This window comes from Homo sapiens, chromosome 14 (genome assembly GCF_000001405.40).
Source record: "Homo sapiens chromosome 14, GRCh38.p14 Primary Assembly".
Classification (NCBI taxonomy): domain Eukaryota; kingdom Metazoa; phylum Chordata; class Mammalia; order Primates; family Hominidae; genus Homo; species Homo sapiens.
In genome coordinates, this window is record NC_000014.9 from 88,821,964 (window position 1) to 88,838,815 (window position 16,852).

General features: G+C 38.6%; 1 protein-coding gene across 11 annotated transcripts in view, besides 1 other annotated feature; it reads left to right on the forward strand.

The window, feature by feature from the left end:
• The window catches only part of TTC8 (tetratricopeptide repeat domain 8), a 56,927-nt gene continuing 42,264 nt past the window's right edge, over positions 2,190 to 16,852 (forward strand). For 5 of the 11 annotated variants that reach the window (NM_001288782.1, NM_001288781.1, NM_198309.3 and 2 more), the window contains exons 1-2: positions 2,190 to 2,251; positions 2,611 to 2,858. Coding sequence is in view for 8 of the 11 variants with exons in the window: in NM_001288781.1 (NP_001275710.1) it covers positions 2,745 to 2,858 (114 nt within the window). In the remaining 3 variants the exon portion in view is untranslated. Of the gene's footprint in view, positions 2,252 to 2,610; positions 2,859 to 11,729; positions 11,760 to 16,852 lie in introns of those variants that run through there. The other 6 variants (NR_159362.2, NM_001366535.2, NM_001366536.2 and 3 more) reach the window with 3 other exon arrangements.
• Positions 2,340 to 2,699: an enhancer, noted in NCBI's record as "active region_8844". NCBI's record gives its function as "activates an Ori minimal core promoter by ATAC-STARR-seq in GM12878 lymphoblastoid cells {active_cell/tissue: GM12878}" and the evidence as "EXISTENCE:reporter gene assay evidence [ECO:0000049][PMID:35858748]".

Below are 16,852 nucleotides of genomic sequence, written 5' to 3' on the forward strand. Positions count from 1 at the left end.
TAATTCCAATTTAACATTTAAGAAAATTTAAACTTTGGCATTTAAAGTTAAATTACCTTAGGTATTTGATTTAAGACTGATTAACCTAAAGAAATATCTAGTTGCTACAGAGTAAAAGATAAGGATCTATGAACTGAGATCTAGCATCGATTGTGAAACTAACCCTTTTAAAGGGCTTGTTTCTCTGTGCTTCACTTTCTCTAGGAGGAAAATGGTCCTAGTAACTCTTATCTATTCCCTTCACCAGGAATTGTTACATTGTCTATTCTTCCTATTACTAGCATATCTTTAAAAAAATGGTTTCTGCTTTATCAGTTAGATATTATTAAAAAATGTAAGTCTGTCTATAAATTCATAAAATCAATGAACCATAAACATATTTACATGATATTAAAAATAACATATTTTTATATCCTTTTAAAGACACATTTTATGCTACATTTGGACATGTTTAACATCCTGTAATTTACTAAATATCCTACAATTTTCCTCATTCATTTGACTTTTGTGAGAGGAAAAAAACAGCCTTCTGAAAGAAGTTAACACACATTATATGCTACTAAAATATTTTAATGCCTCATTTGTTCCACATTTATTTATATGTTTATTGGCATGTTTATTTCCCCACTTATGTAAATAGTGTTTCTCTGTAGGAAGTTGGCAATAATCTCAATAGATACATGACTAGAACTCAATGTAGTGGGTGATTAATCCTGGCTACCCATCAGAATCACCTGAGACACTTAAAAAAACAAAACCGATGCCCCAGTCCTACCTCAAACAATTTAAGTCAATATTTCTAGGGCTGGAATTGGGACATCTCTATTTTTAAGAACTTCTCAGATATTCTACAAAATACTTGACCAGCACTTTTCAACACTGTCAAGGTCATCATAAACAAGGAATGTCTAAAAAACTGCCACAGTGTCAGAGGAGGTGAAGGAGACATGATAACCGAATGTTATGTGGTACCCTAAGTGAGATCCTGGAATAGAGAAATAACATTAAGGGAAAACTACTGAAATCCAAATAAACTGTGGAGTTTATTTAATAGTAATGTACCATTGTTGATTCCTTAGTTGTAACAAATGTATCATCTTACACTAAAACAAATGTCAACATCTCACACAATAGAGAAACTGGGTATATGGGAACTGTCTACTATTTTTGTGACTTTTCTGTAAATCGAAAACTATTCTTTAAAAAAGTTTATTTAGAACATCTGACTATATGCTAGAGAGTAAAAGATAAGGATCTATGAACTGAGATCTAGCATCATTTGTGAAACTGACCCTTTTAAAGGGTTTCTCTGTGCTTCACTTTCTCTAGTAGGGTTGAAAATCACTTACATAGTAATCTGCTTACAGTGTACCAGAAAACAAAAAGACGCTGTGAAATATTGAGCCCAATTGTCAATTGTCGGCATGTGCGTTCTTAAAAATTTGACACTCAGAAACCATGGGCTGCTTCATTAGGACCTTTAGGGAGATTACATTTCTACCGGCAGTTCCAGGAGAACACAAATAGACTAATGACAATACACTTAACTGTAACAATGACAATCCTGATAATTACTGACTTCCAAAATACAACAATTCAAGAAAGACTGCTTAGTAGAGAATAAAAGGTAACAATAAATTTCTTAGTTTAGAAGCATAAGTTTCATTTTAATACCTATGAAAAATATAAATATGTGGATTAAATAGAATGTCTAATGTTTTCTCAGACCCCAGTGGTTTGAGAAAAGCCTACCTGGATTTAGCCGGTCACACCTCTCTTTTCATAACCATTGCAATTTTAAGCATATTTGTCATCTGTGCAAATTTCTAGAGAAAAGTCAGAATTGTGTTTGAAGAAATCACTCTGCACAAGTAAACCCTTGCCAAACAGCAAGTGCCAGGAGACGATGTTTCACAAAGCTTTTAAAAATTATTATTATTATTATTATTATTATTATTTTGCACACATTATCTAGTTTGGTAAAACTGTCACCAATTTACAATCCGGAATCACCATGTGAGTCGAATTAACAAATGTATTAGCAACTTGTAGTCAACCAGATTGCAGTTCCAGCTCCCTAACTCAATGCAATTTTAATAATTTCTCTTCTCTGAGTCTATCTCAGTTTCTCATCTGTAAAATGAGTAAAAGCAAACCACTTGCAGTTCAGATGTTGAGATTCGGTGGGAAGGACCTCGAGAAACAGCGGACAATTTCAGGATTTAGGACTTTAGGTCTTGATGGGTGGATGGTACTGTGGAAGCTGTTTACTTGTTTGTATTTCTAGAATCGGAAGGTAAAGCGAAAGGGATGGAAACGAGCGAATGGAAGAAGTAGGACAGACACCAGACAGAGATCAACTCCAGGGACTCTTCCGGACCTGCAGGGCAGGCAGAGCATTCGGTTGCTAGGCAGCTGCGCCTCCTGGGAGGGTGGGGGACCCCAGGGGCAGGTGTCTAACTCACTACCTTTTTGTTTAGCCGCGGTGCCTTCTTTTCAAAATCAATGAAACCTGTAGCCTTTAAAAGTAGACATCTTTTTCCAACCAAGTTTAGGCAAGCCCTGTAGCCGAGTTCTGCTTGCGGTTGTTTTTCTTTTTCCTGTTCTCAGGCGCGCTGCGGGCACCTCTCGGACAAGGCCCCAGCCGTCGCGGGTTGCCGGGCAGAGTCGGACGCCGCCAGCTCTTCACTCCACGCCCACCTCTCTCCTGGAGCGCTGGGCCTTCGCTGGCCGCACCGGCAGCCATGAGCTCGGAGATGGAGCCGCTGCTCCTGGCCTGGAGCTATTTTAGGCGCAGGAAGTTCCAGCTCTGCGCCGATCTATGCACGCAGATGCTGGAGAAGTCCCCTTATGACCAGGTACCGGCCAGCTCCCGTCAGCCTGTGCATCCTGACGCTGAGGCTGCGGGGTCTGGGGCATATCCCAGCCCCGGGTTGGGAGGCCGGGGAGGAAGGCCCGAGGCGGGGCTGACCGTTCGGCCCTCGGAGGCGCCCGGAGCGAGACCTTGTGGAGCTGTGACTAGCGGGTCCGCTGTCCGCCACGTCCACGGGGATAGCAAGTTCTGTGCCATGACCGCCCCCTCCTCACAATTTTCAGCCTCCCCTCCCCTATACGTGTCCCAGAATGAGAGCCCTGAACTTTACTTGACGAGGAACTTTGATAATTCGTTTATACTTGCATATTGATGGGCTTTAAGCTCTCAGCGTGTGCGTTGTTAATTTCTAAAAAATATGCATAAACAAAGATCTGTGACTCTCCACCTCCTGTTAACATAGCTGCCTTCTTCCTTTTGGATCGAACATGTGATCCTCCCACCTCATCTTTAGACTGTTGTCCAAGAGTGAAGGAGGCCATGAGTTTAGCTTGAGGCAAATATGCAAATTAGAAGAATGAGAATCTAGGAGGGAGAAAGATACATTCATTATTTAAAAAATTACCTAGGCAAGGGAAGCTCTAATTGTAGGAGGGAGAAATGGGAAAGAAAGGCTCCTTACAAGAAGGAATGATGGCATTGATGAAAAGAGAACTTAAACTAGAGTAATGTGTATAGCGAGTGGAAAAGGTAGTATACAATGTACGTGAGCGGTACAATTCTGGTGGGCAGGTGGCTCCTGGAATAGGCAAAAAAGGAGAAAATGGGAGAACAGAAGTAGCGCTGCGGCAGTTTGTCAGTGCTTTTAGTAAGTGCGGAATATACCTACGTAGTTCTAGTTCCCTAGCTTTTCCTCTAGTGGTGTTGCCTTGGAGATGTTAGAAAAAATGGAAAATTGAAGGGAGTTACAAAAGCGGAGGCCTGAGTGTGAATGCTGTTACTAGGCTCTGCCTTAGCTCCCAGCAAATGGATGATGGATGATAACCTGCTGAGATGAACATTTTGTCTTTCAGATAGTACATCTCTCTTAGAACAGCCTACGTTAGTGGTAATACAAAGCTAGGTTCTGTTGTTAGTTCACATTAATTAATAGGACTATATTTCTGTAGACAAGCATTTTTCCAAGGTTTTTTTAAATTTTTTTTATTTTTTTTTATTTTTTTTTGAGACGGAGTCTCGCTCTGTCGCCCAGGCTGGAGTGCAGTGGCACGGCGCGATCTCGGCTGTCTGCAACCTCCGCCTCCCAGGTTCAAGCGATTCTCCTGCCTCAGACTACCGAGTAGCTGGGACTACAGTTACGTGCCACCAAGCCTGGCTAATTTTTTTGTATTTTTAGTAGAGACGGGATTTCACCGTGTTAGCCAGGGTGGTCTCGAACTCCTGACCTCGTGATCCGTCTGCCTCGGCCTCCCAAAGTGTTGGGATTACAGGCATGAGCCACCGCGCCCAGCCCCCAAATGTGTTTTTGGCATAGTAATCTTATAGATATTGCTTAAAAAAATACACAATCAAATATGTTTGGGACTTGTGACAAAATATTGACCCTTTACGTTGGTACAACAGAAGCTTGTTAAGAACCTTTGATGTGGCCGGGCACGGTGGCTTATGCCTGTAAACCCAGCGCTTTGGGAGGCCGAGGCGGGCGGATCACGAGGTCAGGAGATTGAGACCATCCTGGCTAACACGGTGAAACCCCCTCTCTACTAAAAATAGAAAAAATTAGCCGGGCGTGTTGGCGGGCGCCTGTAGTCCCAGTTACTCGGGAGGCCGAGGTAGGAGAATGGCGTGAACCCGGAAGGCGGAGCTTGCAGTGAGCGGAGATCGCACCACTGCACTCCACACTCCACAGCCTGGGCGACAGAGAGACTCTGTCTCAAAAAAAGAACCTTTGATGTGCCAGACATTGTTCTAGGCACAATGGTTTGCAGGAACTTTATGTGCCATTTTAATTTTTCCATTGAGTTACGGTAGTTTTCATTCTGTGTTCCACGAAACAGTAGTCCCAAGAGCTGTTCAGTGAGAACAAGTTCCCTCATTAAGTACATTTGGGAAATGTATGTTCCTTCTTGGAGATTCAGGATGCACCCTAAAGGCTCTGAGTAGTTTTGAAGAAAAGGAAACTAATTTTGCCTATTTTTGATTAATCCAAATAATTAAATAGTTCTGAAACTTATTTGACCACCGGATTCCTTTTTTTTTTTGACCCAGGGAAAGGGTCAGATATCTTCACTGTTATCCTGGGAAGATGTTGGTACATCGGGAAATGTAGGCAAAGCAGCAATATTTTTATTAATAGTTAAGACCCTCTAATCTTGAGTTCATAGTGACATTCAGTATTGCACCTATAAATTGAGATATCAGGACTTGATATATATTCATCTCAATGACCTTTCATTGAGTGCTTACTACAGATTGTGTATCCCTTATCCGAAAAGCTTGTGACCAGACCTGAATAGAAGTTTCAAAAAAAGTTATTGTTTTATTTTTATGAGCAAGGGTTGATATGTTCAGCTCCAATATATATAGAGTAGGTCTAAGAGAATCAGTACCAGATCTGGAGGAAATTTGATATTCTTTTCCTTTCTAATAATTTTTATTTGTTTTATTTGTTTGTTTTGTTTTGTTGAGGTAGTTTATTATGGTTGAACTGTATGTATTGCCAGAATAATGAGTAGCATTTTACCAGGAATAGACGTTTAACTTGATGTCATCTTACCAGAGTTAGGTTTTGTTACTAGGTAGGGCTATTGAAAAGTTTACAGGGCTTACTCATGTTAGTCATTCTTTGACCTAACTTTGAACACTGTGCTGTTATTACTCTATGTTTTTCGTAACACCAGTTTCTGTATTTTGCACCCAGTTGTTATTTCATGTTGGAAATATTTCCCAGAATGATTTTTCCCAAGCTTGAAGAAATCCTGCCTTTTTCTTCATTAAAAAAATTAATATTTATGTTAGAGTGTTGATGCAATTAAAGAAGAGCTTTAGGAAGGAAGCTTAAGGAAGTTCCTTTGATTACAAGCTTGAAAATTATCTTTCCTTAGAACATGACTCCACAATAGCAGGTTTGTGTGGTATCCCAAGCACCTGATGCAGAGTCAGGCACACAGGGGCTTTTGATATGTATTTGCTGAATGAGTGCGTCGATCATGTTCATGTGTGTGTTTTGATGGAGTTGTTCATATTTGTCAGCTTCCTCTCTATGAAGGTCGTCGTAGTTGCTTGATGATCTTTGTCTTCCCCTGCCCCATCCTTAATTCTCAGCACCATATGTTCTTAAATGTACACTTACTTTTTCAAATAAATATAATTTCATTATGGGCATTCTTAATTCTTGTTTTGAGGGTCAGTTTTTAAAAATCAATTTTTAAAATGCTTCCTAGGTTCCTCCAGGAGAGTGTTTCTAATAGTAATGATCATCATTGCTATCTCTTACAGTGCTTTCTTTGTTTCGGTGGAGGAAGTTAAATGATGGAGAGATTCACAATCTATGAAAAGCTAACAGAAATGTGACCAGAGCGTGAGCAGATGGTCCTCTGCTCCGCAGTTAGCTGGTTCACCTTCATGCCCCTTTAGCCTCATGGGCATTTACTGAGGTTTTGACATTTGAGAGTACTTTTCCTCTATAACTATTTGAATTACTGTTCTGTGCCACCAAACTGATTATAGTATGGAGTGAATTTGAAACTCCTGGACACATAGAGGAGCCCAGAAATTAAAATATTTCTTCTTAGTGCCAAATGGATTCATTTTTGCTCTTACGTTTTCCCCTCCCCATTACAAAAGATAGTTTTTGTTTTTAATAATGTCATTTTTCACTTTTGGTTTTGCTTATTTTTCTCCCAGATGAGAAAAACCTCTCAAAAATGATTTGTTATTTGTTAATCTTTTTATAAGCTGGTCCAGGGAGCTTCAAAAAGATAACATTTTGGTCCTGATACATTAGCTTATTGAGATGAAGGCCACCTCTAAGACTATTTATATGCATTTATTTCGCCTTTAAGGGATACTATTTTGGTGTAGAATCATCAAAAGTCTTTAATTATTGCCTTGTATTTTCTATTAGGATTTCTGGATTTTATTTTTGATAGTCAGGCTAGCCAGAGAGGTATGATGTACTATGCAACAGCATGTTTCTTCAGAGTAATACATTTTAATTTGGCTACAAAAGAACTGAAGGGTAGATTAAATATAATAATATGGTGTTTGGTAATGGGGAAGGGTTCTTGAAGAATATGGGTTCTCAACTGCTTTTTCTAGACACAGAATGGTGAGGGACAGAGGCCAGCCGGGGTCTGTAAGCATGAAGAGTATTAAAGTTCAGATCTGTTAAGAATAAAGAAAGAAAGATAACTGATTAATTTATTATAATTTCCCTTTTTTGATTAAATATAATAGGAATAACCAATTCATAGAGAAGCATTATCTTTTTCAAAGTGTTCTTTAAATCGTGACTGAAAAAGTGGTTAAAAGTTGTAAGATATAAAAAGAGGAAATGCAAAACAGTCCTCTCCGTACAGCACTGTGACCTAGAGAGAATGTTTGCTTCTGCAGCTCATGTTGATCATCCTGATCAGTTGCTTAATCTGTTTACTGTTCTTTGTGTTCCATATGTCAGATTCATGGCTTTAAAACCAGTCCTGATTTTTAGCTCCATTATAATTAAACAGTTAATAAAACGTAAAGGTTTTTCAGGCAGTGGGATTTTTAAAAGACAATATGCTTTCATTAATGGGGTAGGTGTCTGGTAGATTTTCAGATTATTAAAATCGGTGATTCTGAGGGTGGGACCCATTAGCTGTGTATCAGAATGGGAGAAAGACTTTTTTCTAACTTACATTCTCGTTTTGCCCCAATCTCTGCTTATAATGAGAGATGTTACAGAGAGGAGGGGGTTATTATTGTAAATGGTTTGAAGGAGGAGAAATGGCTGAAAATGACTGGCTTAGATGAAAGACATGAAACCAGGGCTCCCCAATGAGCTGTATGTTAGTAGTTGGTTGAGACAGTGATTTGGTGATCCAAGCCAAAGAACATATCGTGTGATTATCTAATTGGTTTCCTCTTTGGGGCCATGGAGACTTAGCCAGACTTAATCCTTTGATTCTATACGCTGTGGGGCAGGTCATTTTATGAATTTGTATTCCTGCTGAATTACACAGATTACACTCCCACTTGGCTGCGTGGTCACTAGATCTCTCTAACCTTCTGAAATCCATCAATTCCTCTATTCTCTTAAACTTTTTCCCCCTTCTTTTATTACTAAATTTTGAACAATGACTCGGCAGTTTAAGCTGAGGAGACTCATTAGCCAGCATAAGTAGTGGTGGTAATTAGAAAGTTGCATTCAGAATTATCTGGAGATTTAATTCCCTAAAGTAACAGAAACAAGCTAAGAAAATGCTGAACCCTAGGGTGGAAGGAAGGAAGCAAACAGATGTGACTTGAAGTTGATGCTAATGGGTATTTTCTGGTTCTAGGAAGTGGCACTCTACTTTCCATGTCCTGTTACCCACTTTGAGGGAGATTCAGAGGAAGTTTTAATTTGATCTTCCATCACTGGGAGTCAGTTCTGAGTTCTGAAAGGGGGAGTAATAGATGGTTTGGTGCTTCTGTTAAGCTTATACTTGAATAAGTATGATAATATATGTGAAAGAACTCTAAAAGTTGTGAAGTTTTCTTAAAAATGCAAGGTTTTATTATTAGTCCTTAAGATTCTCCTATGAAGTAGGTACTATTGCTTTAATTTGAGAAGGTAATGTAGATTATATGACTTGTTCAAGGTCATGCAGCTAAGTGGCTCCCTGAGGATCAAGCCTAGCCCACGTCTTCTGACTCTAGGGCAAAGCCTGGAGCTTTCTGCTCAACTGCGCTGATACCTGTAGAAATAGTTTGCTAGACTAAGTGAAGCTGCACGGGTGGATTAATTTAAATCACAGAACTACAACTGAGAGCGACCCAAAGAGGAAAGGCTCAGTGATTTTTAAAAAAGAGTTTTCCCCTATCTCCTAATTAAAACATTCCGACTCTTCCTTCATAGTCCTGCTCCTGATGGATCTCCACAGAGCCATGCCTGTCCTTGGTCTCTCCACATCCTACGGTAGTCTGTGTTCCATCCTTGCTGTCATCCCACATACTCAGCAGAGTCCTGCTCTGGGCCCAGAGTGTCTAGGTTCAAATACTGCCTCTATACCTTTGAGGTAAGAGACCAACAGGACTTGTTTTCTGGTCACAACACGGCTGACCAAAATAGGATCTAGTCTAGACAGGTTAAAGTGAAGAAACCAGCAGATGGCAAGGAAAGCGACCCCTCGCTGCCCTCACTGCTCATCAGTAGAACACCCCTCCCACCAGCTGCCATGACAGTTTAAAAGTGCCATGGCAATGACCCAGAAGTTACCACCTCTTTCCATGACAACAACCTATAAGTTACTGCCCCTTTCCTAGAAAGTTCTAAATAACTTGTTCCCTAATTTGCATTGGCCCACCCCTTAATTTGCATGTAATTGAAAGTGGGTTTTCATGAGTATAAATACAGTTGCCAAGAGCCCATAGTTGCTGATTCTGGCTACACTGCCTATGAGTTAGCCCTCCTCTGCAAGGAGCAGTACCAGCCAATAAAGGATTGCTGTCTAATACCACTGACTCACCCTGGAATTATTTCCTTGGCAGAGCCAAGAACCCTCCTGGGCTAAGCCCCAATTTTGGGGCTCACAGGTCCTGTAACATCTTGCTCTGAGTGTTCTCATCTGTAAATGGTGATGATAGTATACCTATAACTCAGAGGGTGTTATAAGGCTCATGAACATGTGGTAAGTGATAAAAAATGTTAGCTGCTGTTGTCTGTATACCTACAGATATTTGCATGCAGGATTCTATCATCTATATTTTTCTTAAAGGATTGCTGGGAATCTGAAAAGCATTTTTGAGGAAGATGTCCAGTGAAATGGATGGTGAAAGGATGTTGAATATAGTTCATAAATCATTGGCACTCAATAATTTCCAGAATAATCTCCCCCTTCTCTGACTCTCTTATCTTCCATGTCTTCTGCTTTTCTTTTGTTCACCTAAGTCATCTATAATTTGACCACAATGTGAGTATAGTATTTGACACATTGTATTGTAATTTAGGTGCCTCCCCCTCTAGAATGTTGTGGAATTAATGTGTTCTTGGCCTCATACCCACTTAGGCCTGGTCTCCATTTTCCTTCAATGCAATCCCTCACCTGTCTCTGCACCTCCCTACTCATTAGGCCTCTCATTTTCTCTTCTGACCTGCACATTGATGATTTCCTGTAATTTCCCTACACACTCTTCATCCACATGATCAGCCCTAAATGTATCCCTGAAGGGCAGAGGAACAAGACAGAGAGATCGCGGAGACTTTCCTCAGTGAGCAGAAATCCTCTGAGGCTGAGCTGGTGGTTTCATTTTGTGTCACTGGAGGAATCTACCTGCCCTTGGCAAATCACAGCATCCAGTATCAGTGGCTTCTGTCTCCTTTAGCTGTTTTTTCCTTTTCAAGCATTGTCTACAATCACCTCTAGTAAACTTTCTCCCTCAGTTTTCTATAATATATTGGATTTATCTTGTATCTCTCCTAAACTTTACCTTTCATTCCTGCCTTACTATGTCCAACTCTCTTTTTTTTTTAATCTCCAAGAGGCACTGGCAAGAAGGAGCATTTGATTCCCTCAACCGTTTGTGTGACCTTAAACAAATTACTTAACATCTCTGAATTTGTTTCCTTATCTGTAAAGTAGATAATACTTACCTGCTTTCCTCAGATGGTTGTTATGAGACTCAAATGAGATAATGGGCTATAGAGATATGTATACAAGTAAACAGAAGAAAGAAAGAATAGAATGTGTTACTTCTTTCATCTGGCATGTCATTCCCTGGATTGGTGTGTTTCCTTAAGTTTGGACTGTATTTAGGAAATCTATACTTTTTCTACATCCTTGGTAGGTGCACTGGAGTTGAAAACCTCCAATTGCTATGTGTTCTCTAGTTGCTGTTTTGTGTTCGGTTCAGTTGATTGCCACATCTTCTGTAACTTCCATCCTTTGGGGCCCTCATTTTCTAGCCTAACTTAACCTTTTCCTCTCATGTTCCTACCATGCGTCATGTTAAATAAATTACCTGTCCTTGCATGGTGACCATATGGTTTGCACATTGCTTGTACCAAGAATATATTCTTAAAAAATATTTGAGGTGTTCTTTTTGGATTTAGAGCTGTAGAAAGCAAGGATCTTTTTTCCTTTTTCTGTTTCTTAGTACTTTCCCCAGTAAAACAGATTGAGTGCTCAACAGACATTGCTGACTAGACAGACATGTAAGTGTAGATGTTTTATAAATAAATTTGTTATAAGTCTGATTTTTTTAACCAGTGGGTTTCTATTTAATTTGTACAGAAAAACCCAGATGCTGAGTTTATCTGAAGGGTTTGTGTTATGTGGATTTTCCTTCTTCTCCTTAAGTGATTAAAGTCTGAATGTTTTAACCACCGTGAACTTATTTTTGAATAAAAGGAAATATTTCCTTGGTATAGTTATGGGATTATTCTCAATTTCTGATATATTGTGTGTTCATTAAACAAGTAGTTATCATCTCTTTGCACTTTGAATGAGGTTAGATTAATTAGAATTTTCTGATCATTGAAAATTTAGCATTCTTCAATGTATATTCATTTTACACAACTCTTGAGAACACTTCTGTAGGAAGACTAAAGTTAATTTTTTGGATTCTTATTGAATGAGTTAGAGTTCACCTACAAATACTTGGTTGGTCCTTAGGACTTTTTATTTTAGAAACTGTATTTCTTAAAACTGTTTACTGCCTTCTTAATGCTTTCCAGGAACCAGATCCTGAATTGCCAGTGCATCAGGTAAAGAAAGGTTTAGCTGCAACCTTTAGTTTAGAGAATTCTTTAATGCTATTGCTTAGTTGTTGCTATAGATTAGAAAATTTGCTGCATATCTTCCTGTGGGTTTATAAAATTAGCCATATCTGTCAGACATTCTGTGCCTTCTTATGTAAATAAATGATTATATTTTCAATACTTTTGTGTATATTGATAGCCTTGTAGAACTAATAATGCAGTCTACTCATTGGGACTTGGAGCTTAAATGGAAATGACCAAGATGGATTAGAAGGATATGAAAAATAAAGAAGGAGGTGAGGGGAACCAAGGGCTTAGAAAGGGAGCGGGAGAGTCAGCGGAATGACAAATGTCTGAAAGACTGTGATGGATGGGATGGCATGTCTTGAGTCAAGAGTGGACTGTGCTTGGGAAGGTCTTGGTTTTAACTGACCTGGTGGCTCTAAGAGGGAGGAGGCTGCCACAGTGAGGGAAGAAGAAAGGGACACTGGCCAGACAGTCACATCGAGCAAATCAGTTTGGATAAGGATAGGAGGCAGCTAGAGCCTTGCTAACTGGATAAAACACAAGAGAATGAATTGGGAGGAAACCCTGGGAGAGAGGAGGGGGACACCTGGCCAGTGATACTTTTAATCCAGGAGAGTTGCCAGTGAGTCTGGGACTAAGGAGAGAAGTTGTGCAGAGTTATAAATCAGAGAGCTTAAATGTTGCCAGGTGTTAGCCCTACCAAGCGAGATGGAATGTTAACAGCGGTTTTTTTAGGTAAATAAAAGACTTGAACCTTATTAGGGGTCCATATGTGTAATTAGCAAACCTTTTAGAATAAAAAGCAATTTACAAAGTACTCTTATGGAGGCTTGTGTAGTATTAAACACACACTGTAAATAGGTTAAAATGTGGCACTGTGTTCTTTAAAAGGCTGACATTTGTCTTTTGAATGTTCATAATCTTGATTTACAAACTGATAGATGGGGCAAAACTATTTTTTTTTTTGCATAATATGGGTACAAGTCATTCAAGAAGGATCAAAGTTATAAATACTGTGGATTTTGTTCTCAGGAAATTTGGAAGATTTTGATTAAAATTTAAAACATCAATAATTTGCATTGTAGAAATGGTTTTAAAACTATAAATGGCATTTAAGAGCTTTAAACTAGCACAAGGACTCATGAAAAATCTGTATTTGGCATTATTTTCCTGTTCTGTTTGTATAGACTTAATTATTCACTGGATAATGATACAAAAGGGAACAAGGCTGACTAGATTCTTTTGGCCTTACTATTTCCACTTTTGGAATTTCTTATTTTTGCACACTGTTACAACTTCAAAAGGAATGAGGCTATATACAATAACAATTCAGTATCTTGTGCCTAAGTTTTCATTTTCATAGAGTAGGCAGAGTGGCCATAGTTACTGAGTCTTATGATGCTAAATCAGGTCAGACAGACTGTTCCTTTCATAGCCTTATTCTAATAATAACCTAAAATTGTTTCTTACATGCTTTAATCTACTGGCCTTGCATTCTGTATTAAGAGTAACAGAATAATTTAAACATGCTTTGCTCAGTCAGCAGAGTTTTAACCCCTTCATCTGTTTATTTTTATAACTAAAACTGAACTAGTGTCACAGTGGATGGAATGAGTGAGTCAATATTTTCCTGATGTTTGCTGGCAAGTATCTGCTTCAGGAGTAATGTCCTATAGACTAACTCAGTTGGTGAGTGAGATGGGATTGTGTTTCACAGATAAAAAGGGAAAAATTGATATGATTATTCATTTGGTTTGGGAGAATCTGTGCTTTTCCCTTAAAAAACAAAGTTCCAAAAGCATCAATTCTTATTTTTATTGATATTATGGTACTTCTAATACATAAATATTTAAATAAATTTACATAAACTATTTTTTAAAAACTGTGTGACCCTCCCATTTGTTAATAAGTAAACATATCTGATAAGGCAAATTTATATTTTTATTTAGTTTTAAGGGGTAGTTTGGGATTACTGTGTGTGCTTTGTTATTCATTTTATTTTAATCACTGATTAGTTTTAAACTTTTTTTTGGTTTGTTTTTTTAAAACAGGCAGAGGATTTTAGGGATGTGAAACATACTTGGCTTGTTTCCAAAGTAAAAAAAAATTATTATTTTTTTAAAGCCAAAGCTCCTTCTGCTGTTTTCATTAAAATCTCAAGAATTGTTCACATTGCCAGGAGCAGTTCTTTGAAAACAGTCTGATGTTTAATCAAGCAGTGATATGTGATTTTCAAGGTCATTTTTGTTAGGACAGAAGAGAACTCAGGAAGATTAATTTTCTCAAACACTGATAAAATTTAAAATTGAATAACAGTCTGAGTAGATTTTATTCTAGAGCTGTAAATATCAAAAATTCATACCATTGTTTCTTAAGAATCATATTTTAGAAATTAAATTAATATTTTTCTATCTTTTTGAAAAAGTGGATTCTTACGGAATAAAAATTTTAAAAAGATATTCCTAGCCTTGGTGCAGTGGCTCACACCTGTAAACGCAGCACTTTAGGAGGCCAAAGCAGGAGGATCACTTGAGACCAGGAGTTCAAGACCAGCCAGGGCAACAAAGTGAGATCCCATCTCTGCAAACAAACAAACAAAAAAAGCTGGGTGTGATAGTACACACCTGTAGTCCTAGCTACTCTGGAACCTGAGACCTGAGGTGGGAGGTGGAAGGATCACCTGAATTCTGGAGGTTGAGGCTGCACCACTACATTCCAGCCTGGGAGATAGAGTGAGAGCCTGTCTTAAAAAAAAAAAAAAAAAAGTTCCTATTTGACTTTGACTTCGGAAGTATTTATTCATATTGCAGGGAAGGAAGAGTGGATTTTCTTTTCTATATTTTGCTTAGCCTAATATAAAAAATTTCTAACTCTTTAATATTTAAGACGTCAGTTGGGGGATGGATGTCAAGAATCATGATGAATTGGACTATGAAATAACAGTATGAATTTGAAAATAGTTAAAAGTAAAATATATTAATAACCAACTATATAAATGCTGCTATAATGATAAAACTTGATGTTTAAAACTTAAGGCTGGGCATGGTGGCTCACGCCTGTAATCTCAGCACTTTGGGAGGCAAAGGAGGGTGGATCACCTGAGGTCAGGAGTTCGAGACAAGCCTAACCAACATGGTGAAACCCCATCTCTACTAAAAATACAGAAAATTAGCTGGGCGTGGTGGCACGTGCCTGTAATCCCAGCTACTTGGGAGGCTGAGGCAGGAGAATTGCTTGAACCCAGGAAGCGGAGGTTGCAGCAAGCCGAGATCACGCCATTGTACTCCAGCTTGGGCAACAAGAGCAAAACTCCATCTCAAAAAGTAAATGAATAAATAAATAAATAAACTTGATTTAGGTAGGACTCCAAATCATAGTTCTGAAGCCTCATTAGCTTCTCATCAGGATAAAAATTTACATACCTCACTGCGGCATACAGGATCCATCACCTGGCTCCTGACTTTTTCTCCAACCTCTTCCCTCATTCTTCACCTACACTCAATTCTCCTAGAGTTTCCAAACATGCCATAGGCTCTCTAGCTAGCCTGCCTATTGTCCACTTTGCCTGTCCGCTGGGCCCAATTCTTCACTTCTACCCTTCCTTCCACTCCCAGGTAGCTGGACACATTTCCTCTGTTCTATCACACACTTCTTTTTGTTTTTCATTTTTGTTATTACATTTTTCCCATTACATGGAAATTCTTTCCAGTTAGAACTAGGACTATGATTTACTCCTCTTTGTATACTCAGGATGTAGCATGCAGTAGGTGCCCCCTGGTAATATGGGAATGAACAAGCAGAGCCCATGTTGTGCTTTGCTGTTCCAACAGAAAATGCTGTAGTCCTTCCTGTCCACCAGAGAGTGCTGAGCAAAGAATGCTCTTTTGAAAAATCAAAGCTGTCAGATACTGGCAGGGCAGTATGACCTGTAGAGATTTAATATAAATCAGTATTGCCTATTTCCATCTTTGAAGTTAAATTAGAACATTAGCTCAAGCCATTGAGGACTTCCCCGATCCCTGGGAACAGTTGTATAGATATGGTATTGTTCCTGATCTTTGATGAGTGAAAACCTGAGATTTTTTTTCTATACTTTGTTGGCTCTCACAGTTCCAATTGGAGTTCCAATAGGAATTGTTTTTTTTTAATTTTTTTACAAATAAGTTAGTTTTTTGAGTCTATATTCTACTCATCTAATTGTGTTAAATTCATACATAACATTCAAAACAGTTTGTTCTAAATTTTTAAATAATCCAGTAAACCTCAACCAGAAAAGTGCAAGCCAAAAGCCAATCATCTAACCAAATGTATTTTCACTTTGGGAACCTAAATATGTTGTAGAGGCAGCCATCTTTATTCCCATTAAAATGAACGCATGATGTTATTCTTTTTTTTGTTTTTAAAAAAATGTTCATAGAATGCATTCCAATTACTTGAGCTCACAAAAGGATCTTTGCTTTCCAACATCTATAAAACCACACACTTGTCACCTGTCATATTTCACCCAGTAGGTGATGTGTTCAGGGAAATTAGGATCCGTGTTTTAATCTTCTCATGTTTCCTTATCAGAACCTAGCCTGCTGGTATTTAATTAGGGGGTGCTCAATGAATATATATACTGAATGCATCTTGAGTTCTTTACGTGGGGACTTTCTGGACCTCCTGTAGCTCTCACCTGTTCCTTTCGCAGTCCCTTGGCCTTCACTGAGCCTGCTTGACAGCCATATATTCCTAGTATACTGAGCCTAATGCCCCCAAATTTCCCTTGCTGCTACTTCCTCTAGGCTCTAGAGTCACTAATATGCTGCAGCTTCAAGAGTTGCCTTCTTTTCAAATCCTCCACAGCACACCAAGCTTTATTGTTTTCTGCCTCTATTCTGTAGTAAAGGAAAGGTAGAAATTTCAAATAAAACAATTTCATATGTTTAATAAGAAATTGAATGGTGTACATGTTTACATTGAATTTTTCAAGGTAAAGCAAAGCTGATAAAATATTTGCCAGTTTAGATTTCTTAATTAGCTTTTCCCTTTTTTTCATTATCTAGCAGGTTTTCTACTGACTAGATCACAAA